Raw genomic sequence first — 17984 nt, forward strand, 5'->3', positions numbered from 1 at the left:
TATAGAGGATCTCAGGGCCAGTGTGGCCTTGTGAGGGGGTCTTGGGGCCAGCCTGCTCTATGGAAATTGGAGGCACCAGTCAAGGAGAGAGGCTTCTGTCTCCCTGGGTCCTTGGTTTCCACCCATCCTTGGCCAGTACCTTCACTCCTCCCCGACCCCGGAGGCTCCTAGTCTGTTCTCCTGCTTCACCTGCCCTCCAATGGAGCCCCTGGCCATCATGGGCCCAGGCCCCGGAGCTGATCCCTGACCCCACTGTTGTGCCCCTAACTCCCACTCTCCCCCTCCTCCCCTCCCCTCCCCCCCACCTCCATTTCCCCTCAGCCTCTGCCCTCTCCAGACCACAGACACAGTCCTCCTGACCCCGGCTCCTCCTGAGCTGCCTCCCAACCTCTCTTTTCTTCTTACCTACATTTCTAGAAAGAGCAGCTGCATCTGCTATTTTGCAGCCAATTCTGCCTCCTCCCTCCAGTCCCTGCTGTGCTCATCAGAGGCACCAGGCTAACGCACGGCGTGGGTTCCAACCAAGCCCAGGCCTGAACGCACTCATGCCAGGATGCCTAGCTGGCTCCGCTCTCCCCAAACTCAGCTGCTACTCCTCAGGGATCCCACGACACCCAGCCCCATAGAAGTCCCAGGGACCATCCCAGCATGGCCCCAGCACATAGACCACAGAGCTTCTCTGCCTGAATGTCCCAGGACCGCCATGTGATGTCTCCTCTCCCACAGGGAATAGAGCCCTGTCCTGCAGACACTCAGGCACAGGCAAACAGAGACCCAGCCATTGTACCTGTGGGCGGGGATCTGGGCTCAGCACAGCCCACCTGCCCATCAGGGGAGTGGGCCACACAGGCCAAGGCGGCCAGGCCTGACGCAGGTGTGCCTGAGACCCGCCTTCAGGAGGATTAGCCATCATAGATTGAGACCCGCCTTTGGGGGGCGGAGGGAGGGGGGGTGCTGCAGATTGAGACCTGCCTTCAGGAGGGTTTGCCATCACAGAGTAACACCTGCCCCTCAGGAGGGTTAGCCATGTCGACTTAAAGGGGTCTTCAGGGGAGTTAGCCGTGGCTAGTTTATGTGTGCCTACAGGAGGGTTAGCCGCCGCAGATTGAGACCTGCCTTCGGGGGTGTTGTATCGCAGATTGAGACCTGTCTTCAGGAGGGTTAGCCATCGCAGAGTCAGACCTGCCTTCAGCAGGGTTAGCCATCGCAGATTGTCTGGTTTCCTACCCTTGAGCTGCTCAGTGTACTTCACCGAACTGCAGTACTTTAGATAGCTCTACTACTACCGTTTTTGACAGTTTACTTATATTTCATTTAAGTTTAGTGGGGGAAAGCCTGGGTTCCCCAGCCTCCTTGTTCACTGCCCCAGCCCCATGTCCACATACACTCCTGCAACTCTGCAAAGACACCAGGGTGCTGTGAGGGTCCCGTGGGTTTCCCCAGGTCCTCTTTTGGCAGGTCCCTATAACATGTTGCAGGGCAGGGGAGAGGCTGTCTGTGATGGGCAGGGCCCCTGACTGCCATTCGGGCAAGTGGGGATACTGAGGGACCCTGAAAGATATCAGGGTCAGGCTGGTAGGGCATGTGGGCAGCAATGCATCTCAGGGAGTCCTGCCCCCTCTTCCATGGGAAGGGCCCACAGCTGCCATCCCCATGAGCCAGAGAGGATGACACTCTAGGCTGGTGGAAAGGGACCTGATATCAAATGGAAATGAGGCAACCCACGAATACACAAGTCTGCACGTGCTTCTGTGCATGTGTCTGTTCCTAGAGCAGACACAAATGTTCCAGAAGTTTCTTTCTTAGTCATTCACAGAATCACAGGCTCTCGAAGAAGGGGTATTATTCATTCTAATCAGTGGTGCCTGGAATGATGCCCTGTAGTTTCTTTACTTGCCCCAGACACCTGCAGCTCCCTGGAGAGAGCCCCTCAGCTCCTGGCAACTCCATACGTTCTGTGGCAGCTGCAGGGTATTCCACTGGGTAGGTGGGCTGCCACACATGTAAGAGGTCCTCTAGCAAAAGACACCAAGGTGCTTTACAGTCTTTGGCAACGAAAAACACTCCTGCAATGGGCATTATTGATGAAAAGTTTTTATTCAAATGTGTGACCACATATAAAAGATGAACTCCTAATACTTGATGTGCTGGGTCAAAGGTTATGATCATTGTAAGTTTAAAGAGACATCCCAGAAGTGCTTTCAATAGAGTATAGCCAGGTAGTGAAAATGGTGGAGTAAGGACCTCCAAAAACCCTCTCTTCCATAAACGCAACAAGAAAACCAGCAAAAAACAAAAAGGTCAGAATCCACATTTTTAGAACTTCCAAAATTAACTAAACGCTTGCAGAAATCTTAGGAGGATTTATTCAAAAAACATAACTGAATCTCAGTAAGAATTGCAAATTTTATAGCACTTGAACTTGCCCTAGTCCCATCCCTGACTCTCTATCCCAAGTGCCTTGAAAAGTAGGACCCCACATTCATCATGAAAACCACTGGCGTAGCAGCCCCTGGAGGGAAAACAGCAATGGAACTCTTTCAAAGCTTCATTCTCAGAAAACTGTCATTATTTGACCTGTCCAGTAGTTCCCATGGAGACCCCACTTACAAGGATGTCTGTATTTGACCTGACTCAGAGGTCTCAAGTACAAAAATCATATTCCCCAAGGTTCATTGTCAAAAACAATTACTGGTATTTAATTTCACAAATGCCTGAAGCAGTAGATAACAGTGAAGCAAGCAATAGACTAACCAGAAAGCTTAAAAGGAAAGTTTCAGTAATGACATGATCATAGGGGTTTTGAAAAACTGCAGTGCATTCCTGAGAATCTAGAAGGTCAAGTGCATGCTCAGGGCTGTGCACATGCTCAGAAAAGTACTTGGGAAACCCTAAGCACTCACTTCTGGCTGACTTTGAGTCTCTGTGCAAGCAGGAAGAGAAGACTAAGGCAGAGTTATCAGCTGCTTAGCTGAGAGCTGAAAGCATACCCAAAGACACAGAGCCCCTTAGCGAAGACTGAGAACTTTATTGACTCCAGGCACTTATGAAAATTTCTTTCCAATCATTATTTGACCGCTAAGATAACTGAGCAGAGATTTCAGTGCCACACACAAAAGAATACAGACTTTGCAGAAGTAATCCAGAAATGTCACAAAACAAACAACCATTACTACAATAAACAGCAGCAACAACAAACCCCAAAGAGTGGGGAGAATCTGATTTCCAGAATTGACTTACTAAACAAAAACTTTCAATCAGCTACTTTAAGTATATTTTTTAAAGACTGAAGGAATTGATGTTTAAAGAACTAAAGGAAAGTATGGAAGCAATATATCAAACAGAGAATATCAATAAAGGAATACAAATTATAAAAAAGAACCAAGCAGAAATTCTGGTGTTGAAAACTAAGTAAATGAAATGAAACATAGCAAGAGGGGCTCAACAACAGGTTTGAACAGAGAGAAGAAAGAATCAGTGACTTGAAAAAACGTCCATTGAGATTATCCAGTCTGAGGCACAGAAAGAAAAAAGAAAGGAACAAATAAATAGAGCCACAGACACCATAATGGACACTATCATATGTATAAGAAGAGTCTCAGAAAAAGAGGAGAGTGAGAAATAAGGCAGAAAAAAAATATTAGAAGCAATAATGGCTAAAATTTTCTAAGTTAGATGAAAATATTCATCTCCATATCCTAAAAGTTCAACAAACTCCAGGTAGATTTCTTATCAGGAACCATGAAGGGCAGGAAGCAGTTGAGCTGACACGTTCAAAATACTGAAAGAAAAGAGGTGTCAACCATGAATTCTTTATGCAGCAAAATTGTCATTCAAATATGAAAGGGAAATTACCTGACAAATAAAATAGAGAACTCGTCAGAAGAAGACCTGCCTTATAAGAACTACTAAAGAGAGTCCTTCAGGCTGAAATAGTAGGACAATAAGCAGCAACTTGAAATCATGTGAAAAAATAAAGAGGACCATTAAAGGTAACTTTACTGGTTTTATATTTATTGCTATATATTAGTAAATATAAAAGATAGTATAAACACATTTTATGCACTTAACTCTATTTTTCTCCTATTTGAATTAAAAGACAACTGGTCTATGACCATACTACCCTGAATGTGCCTGAATTAAAAGACAACTGCATGAAACAATAATTATAAGTATAGATTGATGAGCACACAAGGTATAAAAATGTAAATTTTATGGCAGTAACAGCACAAAGGAGAGGAGAGGCAACAGAACTACAGAGGAGCAAAGTTTTTGAATACTGTTGCAATTGAGTTTGTATTAATCTGAACATTGACATGTACATATAACATATACATAGTTATTTGTTAAGATATTAATTATAACCCTACAGGCAACAGGTAAGAAAATAACTCAAAAATATACAATAAAGGAAAAGACAGAAATTAAAATGGTACACTAGATAATATCTAAATATCTATTTAACACAAAAGAAGAAAATAATGAAGGAATAAAGGAACAAAAATGGCATAAGACATAAAAAACAAATAGCAAATCCTACCTTATCAGTATTTACATTAAATGTAAATGAATTAAACACTCCAGTTAAGAGTCAGAGATTATCAGAGTTAAAAAAAAAAACATGATCCAACTACATGGCTTTCTAAAATAGACCCACTTTAGAGAGAAGAACACAAATAAGTTGAAAGTGAAAATATGGCCGGATGCAGAGGCTCACGCCTGTAATCCCAGCACTTTGGGAGGCTAAGGTGGGTGGATCACGAGGTCAGGAGATTGAGACCATGCTGGCTAACACAGTGAAACCCCATCTCTACTAAAAATACAAAAAAATTAGCCAGGCATGGTGGTGGGCACCTGTAGTCCCAGCTACTCAGGAGGCTGAGGCAGGAGAATGGCGTGAACCCAGGAGGTGGAGCTTGCAGTGAGCCAAGACTGCGCCACTGCACTCCAGCCTAGACGACAGAACGAGACTCCATCTCAAAAAAATAAATAAATAAGAAAGTGAAAATATGAAAAAAGACATTCCAAGCAAAAAGTAATCAAAAGAGAGCCAGAATGGCTATATTAATATTAGAGAAAATAGACTTTAGGACAAAAATTGTTACTAGAGACAAAGAAGGATATTTTATAATGATTAAAGGGCTAATCAACAAGATATAACAATTACAAACAAATATATACCTAACAACAGAGTCCCAAAATTCAAGAAGCAAAAACTGATAGAATTGAAGGAAGAAATAAGACAATTCAACAAAAATAGTTGGGGAATTCAATAGCCCCACTTTCAATAATGAACAAAAACTCTAGACAGTAGGTCAGTTAAAAAAAAATCGCTCCCTCTCCCTCTCCCTCTCCCTCTCTCTCCCTCTCGCTCTCGCTCTCCGTCTCCCTCTTTCTACCGTCTCCCTCTCTTGCAGAGCCTGGACTGTACTGCCATGATCTCGGCTCGCTGCAACCTCCCTGCCTTGGGCTCCGGTGATTCTCCTGCCTCGGCCTGCCAAGTGCCTGGGATTCCAGGCACGCGCCGCCACTCTTGACTGGTTTTTGTATTTTTGGTGCAGACAGGGTTTCGCTGTGTTGACCGGGCTGGTTTCCAGCTCCTGGCCTCGGGTGATCTGCCCACCTCGGTCTCCCGAGGTGCTGGGATTGCAGATGGAGTCTCGCTCACTCATTGCTCAATGTTGCCCAGGCTGGAGTGCAGTGGCGTGATCTCGGCTCACTACAACCTCCACCTCCCAGCCGCCTGCCTTGGCCTCCCAAAGTGCTAAGATTACAGCCTCTGCCCGCCCGCCACCCCGTCTAGGAAGTGAGCAGCGTCTCTGCCTGGCCGCCCATCGTCTGGGATGTGAGGAGCCCCTCTGCCCGCCCGACCCATCTGGGAAGTGAGAAGTGCCTCTGCCCGGCCGCCACCCCATCTAGAAAGTGAGGAGCGTCTCTGCCTGGCCGCCCATCGTCTGGGATGTGAGGAGCGCCTCGGCCTGGCCGCCCCGTCTGGGAGGAAGTGAGGAGCGCCTCTGCCTGGCCGCCCCCGTCTGGGAAGTGAGGAGTGCTTCTGCCCGGCCGCCACCCTGTCTAGGAAGTGAGAAGTGTCTCTGCCTGGCTGCCCATCGTCTGGGATGTGAGGAGCCCCTCTTCCTGGCCGCCCCGTCTGGGAAGTGAGGAGCGCCTCTGCCCGGCCGCCCCATCTGGGAAGTGGGCGCCTCTGCCCAGCTGCCCCGTCCGGGAGGTGAGGGGAGTCTCTGCCTGGCCACCCCGCCTGGGAAGTGAGGGGCGTCTCTGCCCGGCCACCCCGCCTGGGAAGTGAGGGGCGTCTTTACCCGGCCGCCACCCCATCTGGGAAGTGAGGAGCGCCTCTGCCCGGCCGCCCCGCCTGGGAAGTGGGTGCCTCTGCCCGGCCGCCCCGTCTGGGAGGTGAGGGGCGCCTCTGCCTGGCCGCTGCCCCATCTGGGAGGTGAGGGGCGTCTCTGCCTGGCTGCCCCGCCTGGGAAGTGAGGAGCGCCTCTGCCCGGCCGCTCTTCGTCTGGGAGGTGGGGAGCACCTCTGCCCAGCCGCCCCATCTGGGAAGTGGGCGCCTCTGCCCGGCCGCCCCATCTGGGAGGTGAGGGGCGTCTCTGCCTGGCCGCCCTGTCTGGGAGGTGAGGAGCACCTCTGCCCGGCCACCCAGCCTGGGAAGTGAGGAGCGCCTCTGCCAGGCCGCCCCGTCTGGGAAGTGTACCCAACAGCTCCGAAGAGACAGCGACCATCGAGAATGGGCCATGATGACGATGGTGGTTTTGTTGAAAAGAAAAGGGGGAAATGTGGGGAAAAGAAAGAGAGATCAGATTGTTACTGTGTCTGTGTAGAAAGAAGTAGACATAGGAGACTCCATTTTGTTCTGTACTAAGAAAAGTTCTTCTGCCTTGGGATGCTGTTAATCTATAACCTTACCCCCAACCCCCTGCTCTCTGAAACATGTGCTGTGTCAACTCAGGGTTAAATGGATTAAGGGTGGTGCAAGATGTGCTTTGTTAAACAGATGCTTGAAGACAGCATGCTCGTTAAGAGTCATCACCGTTCCCTAATCTCAAGTACCCAGGGACACAAACAGGGCCGAAGGCCGCAGGGACCTCTGCCTAGGAAAACCAGAGACCTTTGTTCTCGTGTTTATCTGCTGACCTTCTCTCCACTATTATCCTATGACCCTGCCACATCCCCCTCTCTGAGAAACACCTAAGAATGATCAATAAATACTAAAAATAAAAAAATTAAAAAAAAAAATCAGAAGACTTGAACAACACTTTAAGCCAACTAGACCTAACAGACATCGACAGAACACTCCACTTAACAACAACAGAACACATACTCTTCTCAAGTGCACAGGAAATATTCTCCAGAATAGACCTTATGTTAGGCCATAAAGCAAATCTCAATAAATTTAAAAGGACTGAAATTATACAAAGTATGTTCTGTGACCACAATAAAATAACAGAAGTCAACGGCAAAAACAATCTGGGAAATTTACAAATATGTGGAAATTACACAACATATTCTTAAATAACCAATGGAAAAAGAAGAAACCACAAGGGAATTCTCAAATTTACTTAAGTAAAAATACTATGAAATAAATGGACATGAAAACATAACATGCCAAACTTACGGAATACAGCAAAAGCAGTGCTGAGTTTAAAAATATATATATAAAACTATAAATGTCCACATTAAAAAACAGAAAGTTCTCAAATCAACAACCTAACATTCCACCTTGAGAAACTAGGAAAAGAGAAGCAAATTAAATTAACAAATAACAGAAGAAGAAAATACTAGAGTGAAAGTAAATGAAATAGAGAGTAAAAAAAAATTGAGAAAGTTAATGAAAAACCAAAAATGGGTTCTTTGAAAAATAAAACTGACAAACTTCTAACTACACTGAACAAGAAAAAAATAGAGAGAAGACTCAAATTAGTAAAATCAGAGAGGATATTACCACCAGCTTTACAGAAATAAAAAGCACTATAAGGGAATACTATGAACAGCTGTTTGCCAAGAAATTAGATAAACTAGATGAAATGGGAAAATTCCTAGAGAAACACAAACTCTCAGACTGAAACTTAGGTCAGAATAAACCTATAACAAGATATTGAATTAGTAATCAAAAAACTTCTTGCCCACAAAGAAAAGCCCAGGGCCAAAGTCACTGGTGAATTCTGCCAAACACTTAAAGAATTAACACCAATCCCTTACAATGTCCTTCAAAAAATAGAATACAAAGCACTAACCAATTCATTCCATGAGGTCACTATTGCCTTAATACTCAAACTAGGAAACAAAATCACAAGGAAAAAAACTATAAACCAATATAAACCATCCATAAATGTAGATGCAAAACTCCTCAACAAAATATTAGCAAATCAGATCCAGCAGCATATTTTGTAAGTATTCATCATGACTAAGCCATACGTATTCAAGGAATGTAAGGTTAGATCAACATACAAAGATCAATGTAATATACCATATCCATAGACCACATAATCATCACAATAGATGCAGAAAAATCATTTAATAAAATCCAACATCCTTTGAAGATTTAAAAAAATGCTCAACAAACAAGCAACTGAAGGGAACTTCATCAATCCAATAAAGGATATCTGTGAAAAATCCAGAACATCACAGTTAATTGTAGAAGACCAAAAGCTTTCCTCCTAAGATCAAAAACAAAACAAATATGTCTGCTCTTGCCTCTTCTATTTAACATTGCTCTGGAGGTTCTGGCCTCGGCAATTGGATAAGAAAAAGATATAAAAGACACCCATATTGAAAAGAAGAAGTAAAACTATCTCTATTTGCAGATGATCTCATATATAGGAAGTCCTAAGAAATACACATACACACACAGACACACACACTATTAGAACTAATAAATAAATTCAGCAAGGCTATAGGATACAAGATCAATATATGAAAATCAATTGTAATTCTATATGGTAGTAATGAACAATCTGAAAATAAAATTAAGAAAACAATTCAATTCGTAATAGCATCAAAGAGAATAAAATAATTATAAATTTAACAAAAGTATAAGACTTGTACACTAAAAACTACAAAACATAGTTGGGAGAAATTAATGTAGACTTAAATAAGTGGAAGGACATCCCATGTTCATGGATTGTAAGACAATATTCTTCAGATGGCAATACTCCCCAAATTGACCTACAGATTCAATGCAATCCCTATCAAAATTCTAGCTGGCTTTTGTTGTTGTTGTTGCACAAATTGACAAGCTGTTCCTAAAATTCGTGTGAAAATGAAAGGGACCTGGAACAACCAAAACAGTCTTGAAAAAGAAGTACAAAGTTGGAGGACTCACATTTCCTGACTTCAAAACTTACTACAAAGCTACAGTAACTAAGACTGTGTGGTAATGGCATAAAAATAGACCTATAAATCAACAGAATAAAGGTGAGAGTCCAGAAATAAACCCACACCTCCATGGTCACTCAATTTTTGTCCAGAGTGTCATAATAATCTAATGGGGAAAGAATACTCTCTTCAACAAATAGTGCTGGGACAAGCAGATAGCCTCAAACAAAGGAACACATTTGGATTTGTACCTCGTACCACATATAAAAATGAATTCCAATGGATCAAAGACATAAATGCAAGACCTAAAACTATAAAACTCTTAGAAGAAAACAAGTGTAAATCTTTGTGACCTTGCATTAGGCAATAGTTTCGTAAATATGACACCAAAAGCATGTGCAGTCAAATTTTAAAAGAGATAAATTGGACTTGATCCAATTTGAAAAACTTGTGCTTCAAAGGACACTATCAAGAAGAAATGGGAAACACTACCCTCAGAATGGGAGAAAATATTTGCATGCCATATATGTTATAGGGTCTAGTATCCAGAATATATGAAGAACTCTTACAATTCAATGATAAAAAGATAGCCCAGTTAAAAACGGGCAAAGGCCCTCATGGACATTTCTCTAAAGAAGATGTACAAATGGCCAATAGGCACATTAAAATTTCTCAAAATTATTAGTTATTAGGATTTCAAATGCAAATCAAAACCACAAGGAGACACTATCTACTGGGGTGGATATAATAGAAAAGACAGTAATAACAAGTGTTACTGAGGATGCTGAGAAACTGAAACTCTCATACTTTGCTGGTAAGGATGTAAAATTGTGCAATCTATTCAGAAAATGATCGGTATAGTTCCTTAAATTGTTAAACAGAGTTATCATAGGACCCAACAATTCCGCTCCTTGTATTCCACAAAATATTTAAAAACCTCTGTCCACACAAAAACTTGTGCACAAATGTTCACAGCAGCATTCTTCATATTAGCCACAAAGTGGAAACAACCCAAATATCCATTAACTAATGAGTGTGGTTTATCCATATGATGGAATATTACACAGCAATAAGAAGGAATGAAATACCAACATGCTACAACACTGAAGAACTTGAGAACAGTATGCTAAGAGAAGGAAATCTGACAAAAAAGGCCATGTTGCATGATTCCACTTATTCAAATATCCAGAATAGGCAAATTCATAGAGTCATAAAATAGATTAGTGGTTACCAGAAGCTGGTGGGTTGGGGAAGGGGCAGTTTGAGGGATAATTAAGAAGTTCTGGGCTGGGCGTGGTGGCTCACACCTATAATCCCAGCACTTTGGGAGGCCTAGGCAGACAGATCACCTGAGGTCAGGAGTTCAAGACCAGTCTGGCCAACATGGTGAAACCCCGTCTCTACTAAAACTACAAAAAAATTAGCCAGCCATGGTGGCACACACCTGTAATCCCAGCACTTTGGGAGGCTGAGGTGGGAGGATCACTTGAGCTCAGGAGTTTGAGACCAGCCTGAGCAATATAGTAAGACCCCCCATTTCTATTTATAAAAAATAAGATTAAAAAAAAAAAAAAAACATGGCCGAGTGTGGTAGCTCATGCCTATAATCCCAGCACTTTGGGAGGCTGAGGCGGGTGGATCACTTGAGGTGAGGAGTTCGAGACCAGCCTGACAAACATGGTGAAACCCCGTCTCTACTAAAAATACAAAAATTAGCTGGGCATGGTGGCACATGCCTGTAATCCCAGCTACTTGGGAGGCTGAGCCCAGAGACTCGCTTGAACCTGGGTGACAGAGGTTGCAGTGAGCCGAGATGGCACTACTGCGCTCCAGCCTGGGCAACAGAATGAGACTATGAGACTCGGTCTTTAAAAAAAAAAAAAAAAAAAAAAAGAGGTTCTGGAATTAGAGATGATGGTTCCATTTGTGAATACACTAAAACCCACTAAATCATGCACTTTAAAAGGGTAAAATTTAAGTTATGTGAATTATATATTTCAATTTCTTAGAAGAAAAGATGACGATGACCAACATCCCACTACCAGGACAGCACTCGATGACCCTCACAGGCACCACAATCTAACAGGTGAGAATGGTCTCACTGCAGGCTTAATTTGTATTTTGTTCATTATGAATGACAGTGAGCTAATAAGGCATTTTTTTTTCTTGAATGGTGTGTTTGGGGTTTCCCCTTTATTCAACTAGTCTGTAGATTTTTTTCTTATTCATTTTTCTTTGGCCTGAGTTTAAGGCTAGGTAATGGTATTCATTCATCCAATAACTGTATCTTGAGGGCTTAGGGTTGCCTCGCCCTGTTCTAGGCAGTGGAATATGGTCATAAACATGACCCACAGAGTCCTGGGCCTCATGAAGCATAAATGGTCAAGGGGAGACACAAATACTAAACAGGGAAACACACACCAGCCGGCAACAAGTGCTGTGGAAAAAACTAGAGCAGGTGGGGAGAGCCAGGAGTGGATGGGGGCTCTGTTGGTGATAATATGGGCCAGCTGGAGAAGGCTCCTCAGATGAGGTGACTTCTCACCCACATGAAGCAATCCACGTAGGGAAGAACTGACCCCAGAGGAAACAGACACTCCAGGCAACAGAGGAAAGCATAAAAAGCAATTGTAAGGGAGAGAGACCTGGTCACCTGTGTCCATCTGAGGAGCAGGACGCCATGGCTGAGAATCAACCAGACTCTAAGAACAGTAGCCAAGACCTGTAGCCATCTCCTCACTGCCCCACACCCACACCACTGCCAGCTCCCACCTGCTGCTGTGCTACCCACTTCCCACGTCTGACCATCTGTATGTCCATCCTCCCTGGTAAGCCCTCATCCAAGTGGCCATCCACTCTCCAATGCAGGGTTGCAGGGCCCCCACTCCACCCCAGCTAACCATGCTCTTCTGAGTCACGGTCCTGGGGGAAGGGGGTTCTGTTGGCCTCAGCTTCTGAAAGCACTTCCGTGGCTCCAAGAAGGAAGACAGTGCTGGTGATTTGGCCAGCAAGGCCCAGCCTCACCCTCTCTCCCCATTGCTGTTGGCTGGCTCTGCTCCCCCAGGCACACAGCGGTGCAGGGTCCTGCCCAGGCCAGCTGACATCACTGCCAAGATGGGACTGAAATGTCAGTGTCTGCACACAGCTCGGGCCAGCAAGGCATCCTGGACCCTGGCTGGCCCTGGGGCTTCCTGTTCCCCTTGCCTGCCAAGCAGGGCCAACTCTGTGTCCCTCAGAAGGAGCCAGCTGGGAAGGCCTGTGGTCAGGAGGAGGTGGGCCCCAGAGTGTCCCCCAATCCTCAGAGTCCAAAACAGAGGATGTTCCTGCCCCCACCACCGGCCCCCACGCCAGGAAGCTGCTGCAGCCACCAGGGTCTGATGCTGCCTAATCAGGGAAGGTGCTCCTGCAGGGACTTTCACGTGTGTTTAAAAGCAAGATTTAAAAGCAAGATTATTCAGTGCTCTCCCTCGGGGAAAGTCCCCTGGGGAGAGGGCACAGTGCTCACAGCAGGGTCCAGCGGCCAGGGCAAGCACACCACCTCTGTGTCTCCCACCGAGGGAGCTGGCAAAAGCCCTTCACCTTTCTGAACTTCAGTTTCCACTTCTAGAAAATGTGGTGAATGCCATGCACCTGAAGGACCGGTGCAGCTCCCTGCGAGGCACCTTCTCTGGCACTGTGTACCCTTGGCCAATGCGCAGTCTCGGAGCTATGGAGGAGCGCTGCCTGGGAGCCAGCTGCCCGGACACTGGTTTCACTACAGCTGGGGAGAGGAGGGCCACCTGGAATGGGGGAATGGGGAGAGCACCTGTCATGGACACACCTGAGCAGCTATGACGGTTTCCCTGTCGGGGGACGCAGAGACCACCTCCCAGGTCCATATGCCATCACCAGCCATAGGACACAGTCGTCCCAGCTGACCCAGGACAGTGCCAATTCCGCCTGTTGCTTGACATAAGTCACTCTCAGAAAGTGCCCCACCCCACCCAAGACGACTGCTAGAAACAGATTCCTGGGCTCCGCCCCCAGGCCGAGTGAATCAGAGTCTGGGGGTGTGGCTCTGAGGTTGGAATCTTCTGCCAGCTCAGTGGGAGACCCCAGCACACAGCCAGACTTGAGAAGCCCCAAGTGTGGGGTGTGCCGAAGGGGAAGGGGGGGGTCAGGCACCCTAGAGGGTTCCTTCCATGCTCCATTCCACAGAGGCTCCTTGCTTACATCTGCCCCTCACCTAGCCCCAAGGTCAGGTCAAATGTCAAAAGCACATGAGGGGCATTGTGGCTCCGCTGTTTTCCCACCTGTCACCTGGTCAATGGCGGCTTCCCAGCTGGAAGGGGCAGAGAGGGCTGGAGGCTTGGGAGTGGTGGTCCTGGGGAACAAGGCTCAATGGACCCAGGCACTGACCCGCAACCCTGCTGAAGCCAGAGACACCTGGGTGGAGGTGGAGACGTGCAGGCAGGAGCTGCCCAGGGCCAGGCAGAGGCTCCAGCAGCGAGCCTCACAGCTGAAGGGAATGTGTGAGGAGGGGCCTGGGCCTTGCTCTAGGGAGCACCTCTGAGGCTGCAGGGCGTGGAAGGAAGTGCCTATTCCCTGATGGAGGCCGGGAAGGTGCCAGAAACCCAGAAATCCAACAGGAAGGGCTGCAGGAAGAGGCCTGCTCTGCTGGCTGGGCCCTGATGGCACTCTTCTGCAACCCAACCTCTGAGACTCAGTTTTCCTTCCTGCCGCAGTCCCAGCATGCAGCACTGATCAGCCAGCGGCAGCCGCCTGGGGCCCTCATGAAAAGCACCCTGTGGGTTCGGCACCAGGTCCCTAATATCCCCCCAATATGAGGACTGTGTGCTTCCCATCTGCACCCCGCTGCTGCCTGAAGCGTCTTGTGGGGCCCCTCACCGTGCTAGGATTTGCACCTCAGCTGGAGTCCCCTAGGAGGCACAAAGGCTGGAGCAGGAACAGTGTGGCTTCCAGAACACACTCACGCATGCCCAGGAAAGAAAAAGCCACACAGATTGATTTACTGCTTCTGCTTTGCCACTGAGCACAAGGTGTCAGTGTGCATGATGGACGCCAGCCGCTGTGAAAATTGAGATGTCAGCCCAGAGCCCACAGCCCACACCACCTCACCTCCAGACGCAGTCAGGGGTGGCACAGTCCTGTTAATTGCGAGCCCTGAGCAGACTGCGAAACGTGCTTGTTGAGCGCTACCTGGGGAGCTCACCCTGTCCAGACGGTTGGGAATCCACACTCTCTGGCTCACGGGACACCTCTGCTTCTGCCTCCCTGTGCACAGCCACCCCTCCAGGACTGTGAGGGGGACCAGGCCTTCGTCTGGCCCAGCACTGGTGTGGACCAGACCCCTGACCCTCACAAGTACCAGTTCTCTCCTTGCTGTTGTCAGGTTCGGAAGGGACAGGTGAAGGTGCTGTGCCACAGGGAGTCTCCCCAACAAGACGGACCCCTGGTGATGCAGGAGCAGGCAGACAGGGAGGCCCTGCTGGATGGTAGCGGCACCCTGAGGACACACAGGGTGGTGTCGAGCTCCCACCTGGCCCTGGCCATGAGGAGTGTTGTCAGAGGGTGAGGACGCAGAGGGCACCTGTCGCCATTGATGCTGGGATGACCAAGGACAGTGCCTGGGGCAGGCCCCCAGAAGCAGAGGGGGCTTGGGGGAATAGAGGGCTGACCCAGGCACTCCTGTGTGTGCACGGTACTGCCACCCACCCACATGGGTGTGCATACACAGGCACACTCCACATCGTGGACACATCTTTAGTTTCAAGGGTGTCAGCAGGTGGGACACAGAGCAGTGCACCCCAGAAGGAGCAGACAGACCAGCACACCCACCTCTCCACAGCCAGGACTAGGTGGGCAGGGGAACCAGGCCAGGAGTCAAGGGCCTGGCCAGGCACTTGGAGTTGGAAGGCAGGGAGGAAGGGGTGGGCTACGGGGCTGCGGGACAGGCCGGGGCTCGGCATCCAGCAGCTCTTTCTAGTAGGCAGGCCTGCCTGGGAAGGAAGGGCAGGGCATTAATGGGTAGTCAGTGACTCTGTCTTCCAAACCCAACTGCCTGGCCAGGCCCTTGACTTCTGCTTAGCCATGGACTCCCAGGAAGGGAGGGGACGTGACTGTGAGGCAGACACAGTGCACTTTCTTTTCTGAAGGTCTGATTTCCCCTCACATGTCCTAAGCTCAGGGGCTTTTTAGCACAGACAGAGGACCCGGTTTCAGGGCTCGGCTGCCAAACTCACCTGACTCCCACTGGCAATAGAGCCCCTCCACAGAGGCTTGCAGGCTCCCTCTGCTGCACACCCAGTGACTGGCTCGCGGCGGGAGGCAGCACCCGAGAGAGGACCCTGTGCCTCCTGCTCACCCTCGACACAGACCCACTGGGACTAACCGCTCCCCTGCACCCTGGCACTCATCGTCCGCACCCCACTGGAACCCACAATCTGCTGCCAACAACCCCAGCTCTCCTCACAGAGCACCGCACCCCACGCCTTCAGGACCAGCGAGTTCAAAGGAGCCCATCGTGGGCAAACCCCCATGGTCTCCTCTGTCCATGCCCCAGACAAAGGGGCTGTGCACACCCAGCCCAGGGAGGGCCCACAGGCGGGGGTGCCCCCACACACTTCCACGCCCACCGTAGCAAGGCCACCTGCAGGAGGGGCCTGGCCAGGTCCAGCCTTCCTGACACCCACCCCACACCCCCCACCACCTCATCCTGATGTGTTCAGCGGGTGCCACAACCTCCAAACTACCCCGTGTGTGGATTTGAGGTCCTTGTAGCTCCCCAGACTGTAAACTCCCAAATCCCCGGGGAGGGCTGCCTTGCTCACCTCATGTGAGGGATTAGGCTCTCAAGAGTGGGTATGGCCCCCAAATATGCCCACAGCCTGATCTCCAGAACCTGGGAATGTTCCCGTATTCGGCAAAAGGGACTCTGTAGGTGTAATTAGGCAGAGGCTCTTAAGGCTGCTGGGAGATTCTCCTGGGTGGGCCCATTGTATTCACAAGTCCTTAAAGTTGAAGAATCTTTCCCCGCTGCAGTCAGAGAAAGTGTGAGGACAAGACAGGGTCAGGGAGATGGTGGCGTCAGGGGACCCAACACCTGTGGCTGGCTCGGAGCTGTAGGGAGCCTCACACAAGGCCCAGAGGGGGCTCTAGGGGCCCTCAGGGGCCAACATCCCACAGGGGACGGGGACCTCAAGGAATGAGATTCTACCAACAGACACCTGCGTGACCACGATTCTGCCTGGAGCCTCCGAAGAGGCAGGCCGGCCAGCGCCTTGACCTCAGCCCCTAAGACCCGACCCAGCCTCTGACCTACTGGCCGAGATAAGAAGCATGTGGTGCGGAAGCAGCTCCATCTGTGGGACTTTTTTGCAGCAGCAATAAGAGGCAGGGGCAGCCCACCCTGCTTTGAGCACCAGCCGGCTGGCCACAGGCACAGACCACAGGGGCAGGACCCCTCTAGGGCTCACCCGGCAGTGCCCCTAAGCTGGGCCTGGGGCAGGCCTGCCTCCCCATGGGGTCTGGCACCATCCTCCCCACCCTCAGGCCCACAGAGGGCAGACGGAGACTCACATGCCAGGCCCAGTGCTCGGTGGATGGCCTCCCACCAGGGCTGTGCTCTGTGACCCCAGCTGTGCAAGGAAGTGGGCTGCAGGAAAATATCCCCTGCAGGAAACCCTGGAGCCAGGACACTTCAGGGAGGGCGGGAGACAAACAGAGGGGGCCTTCAGGGTCCTCTTGGGAACTGCAATGTGCCAGTGGCACCAGGACAGCTGTGGGGCCATGGAGGGCTGCAAGGGGCCATGTAGGTAGACCCCCCCAGTGCTGGCGGCCTCCACTTGTTGCCCCCTTAGATCTGTGTGGTGGGGCACTGGCCCTCCTGCTGAGGGCACGGGTTTCCTAACAGGCACCTATCCTTCAAGCTCCTTGGGCCTGGCCCAGACCTTCCAGCCCTGTGGGCTGTGCTCTTCCTGCTGGTCCTGCCTGCCCTCTCCACCTCGGGCCTCACGGCTGCACCGCTAACCCCCGCCCCCGGACCTGGTCTACTGTTGCAGGGCCCGGAACTGACACCTTCACACTCAGGTCACAGCGCAGTGACACCCGGCCTCTGGGCCTCAGCTGCTGGCAGAAGGCTGGGTGGGGGCTAGGTGGGGGCTGGGAGTCCATAAGGCTGTGCTCCCTGAGCAAGTCTCTGTGGTCACAGGCAAGGATGGAAACCGCTGCTGTAGCTCAGAGGTAAAACGGGTCTCTGTGGGATGAGCTCCAAGCAGGGGTCCAAGCAGGGGCTCCTCCTAGGGTCCCCAGAATAATCCCTGACTAAAGGGAGGGAACAAAGGAGACAGTCCCTTTATGGCACACAAGCAATGACACCAGTGACTCCATTGGGTCTGACATTGGGACCTCCTTGTGTAGCTGGTAGCCCCAGGGCCCACTGGAGGCCCCTCTATCCCCGCACTCCTGACACACTCGGCTGGGAACACTGGGGACTTTCCTCCTGGGCAGAGGCTCCCCATTCCCAGGCATCTGGAGAGGAAACCGGGAAGTGTGGGGTTTCCAGCACCTCCGGGAAGCCCCAGCCACCACCTGGTCTCTGCCTGGCAGAGTCCAGCCCCACCAGCCCAGCCCCTCCAGCCGGTGTCGGG

General features: G+C 49.5%; 1 protein-coding gene across 1 annotated transcript in view, besides 3 other annotated features; it reads right to left on the bottom strand.

The window, feature by feature from the left end:
- The window catches only part of RASGEF1A (RasGEF domain family member 1A), a 72531-nt gene that overhangs the window by 42624 nt on the left and 11923 nt on the right, over window positions 1-17984 (bottom strand). The window lies entirely within an intron of this gene.
- Window positions 11930-12099: an enhancer, noted in NCBI's record as "experimental_12309 CRE fragment used in MPRA reporter constructs". NCBI's record gives its function as "activates a minimal promoter by MPRAs in K562 erythroleukemia cells, with activity observed for both the introgressed and non-introgressed 10:43744621 variant alleles {active_cell/tissue: K562}" and the evidence as "EXISTENCE:reporter gene assay evidence [ECO:0000049][PMID:34662402]".
- Window positions 12186-12978: an enhancer, noted in NCBI's record as "H3K4me1 hESC enhancer chr10:43744792-43745584 (GRCh37/hg19 assembly coordinates)". NCBI's record gives its function as "activates a minimal SCP1, AML or CMV promoter by ChIP-STARR-seq in naive H9 embryonic stem cells {active_cell/tissue: H9 hESC(naive)}" and the evidence as "EXISTENCE:reporter gene assay evidence [ECO:0000049][PMID:30033119]".
- Window positions 12979-13770: an enhancer, noted in NCBI's record as "H3K4me1 hESC enhancer chr10:43745585-43746376 (GRCh37/hg19 assembly coordinates)". NCBI's record gives its function as "activates a minimal SCP1, AML or CMV promoter by ChIP-STARR-seq in naive H9 embryonic stem cells {active_cell/tissue: H9 hESC(naive)}" and the evidence as "EXISTENCE:reporter gene assay evidence [ECO:0000049][PMID:30033119]".

Source organism: Homo sapiens, chromosome 10, assembly GCF_000001405.40.
Source record: "Homo sapiens chromosome 10, GRCh38.p14 Primary Assembly".
NCBI classification, from domain to species: domain Eukaryota; kingdom Metazoa; phylum Chordata; class Mammalia; order Primates; family Hominidae; genus Homo; species Homo sapiens.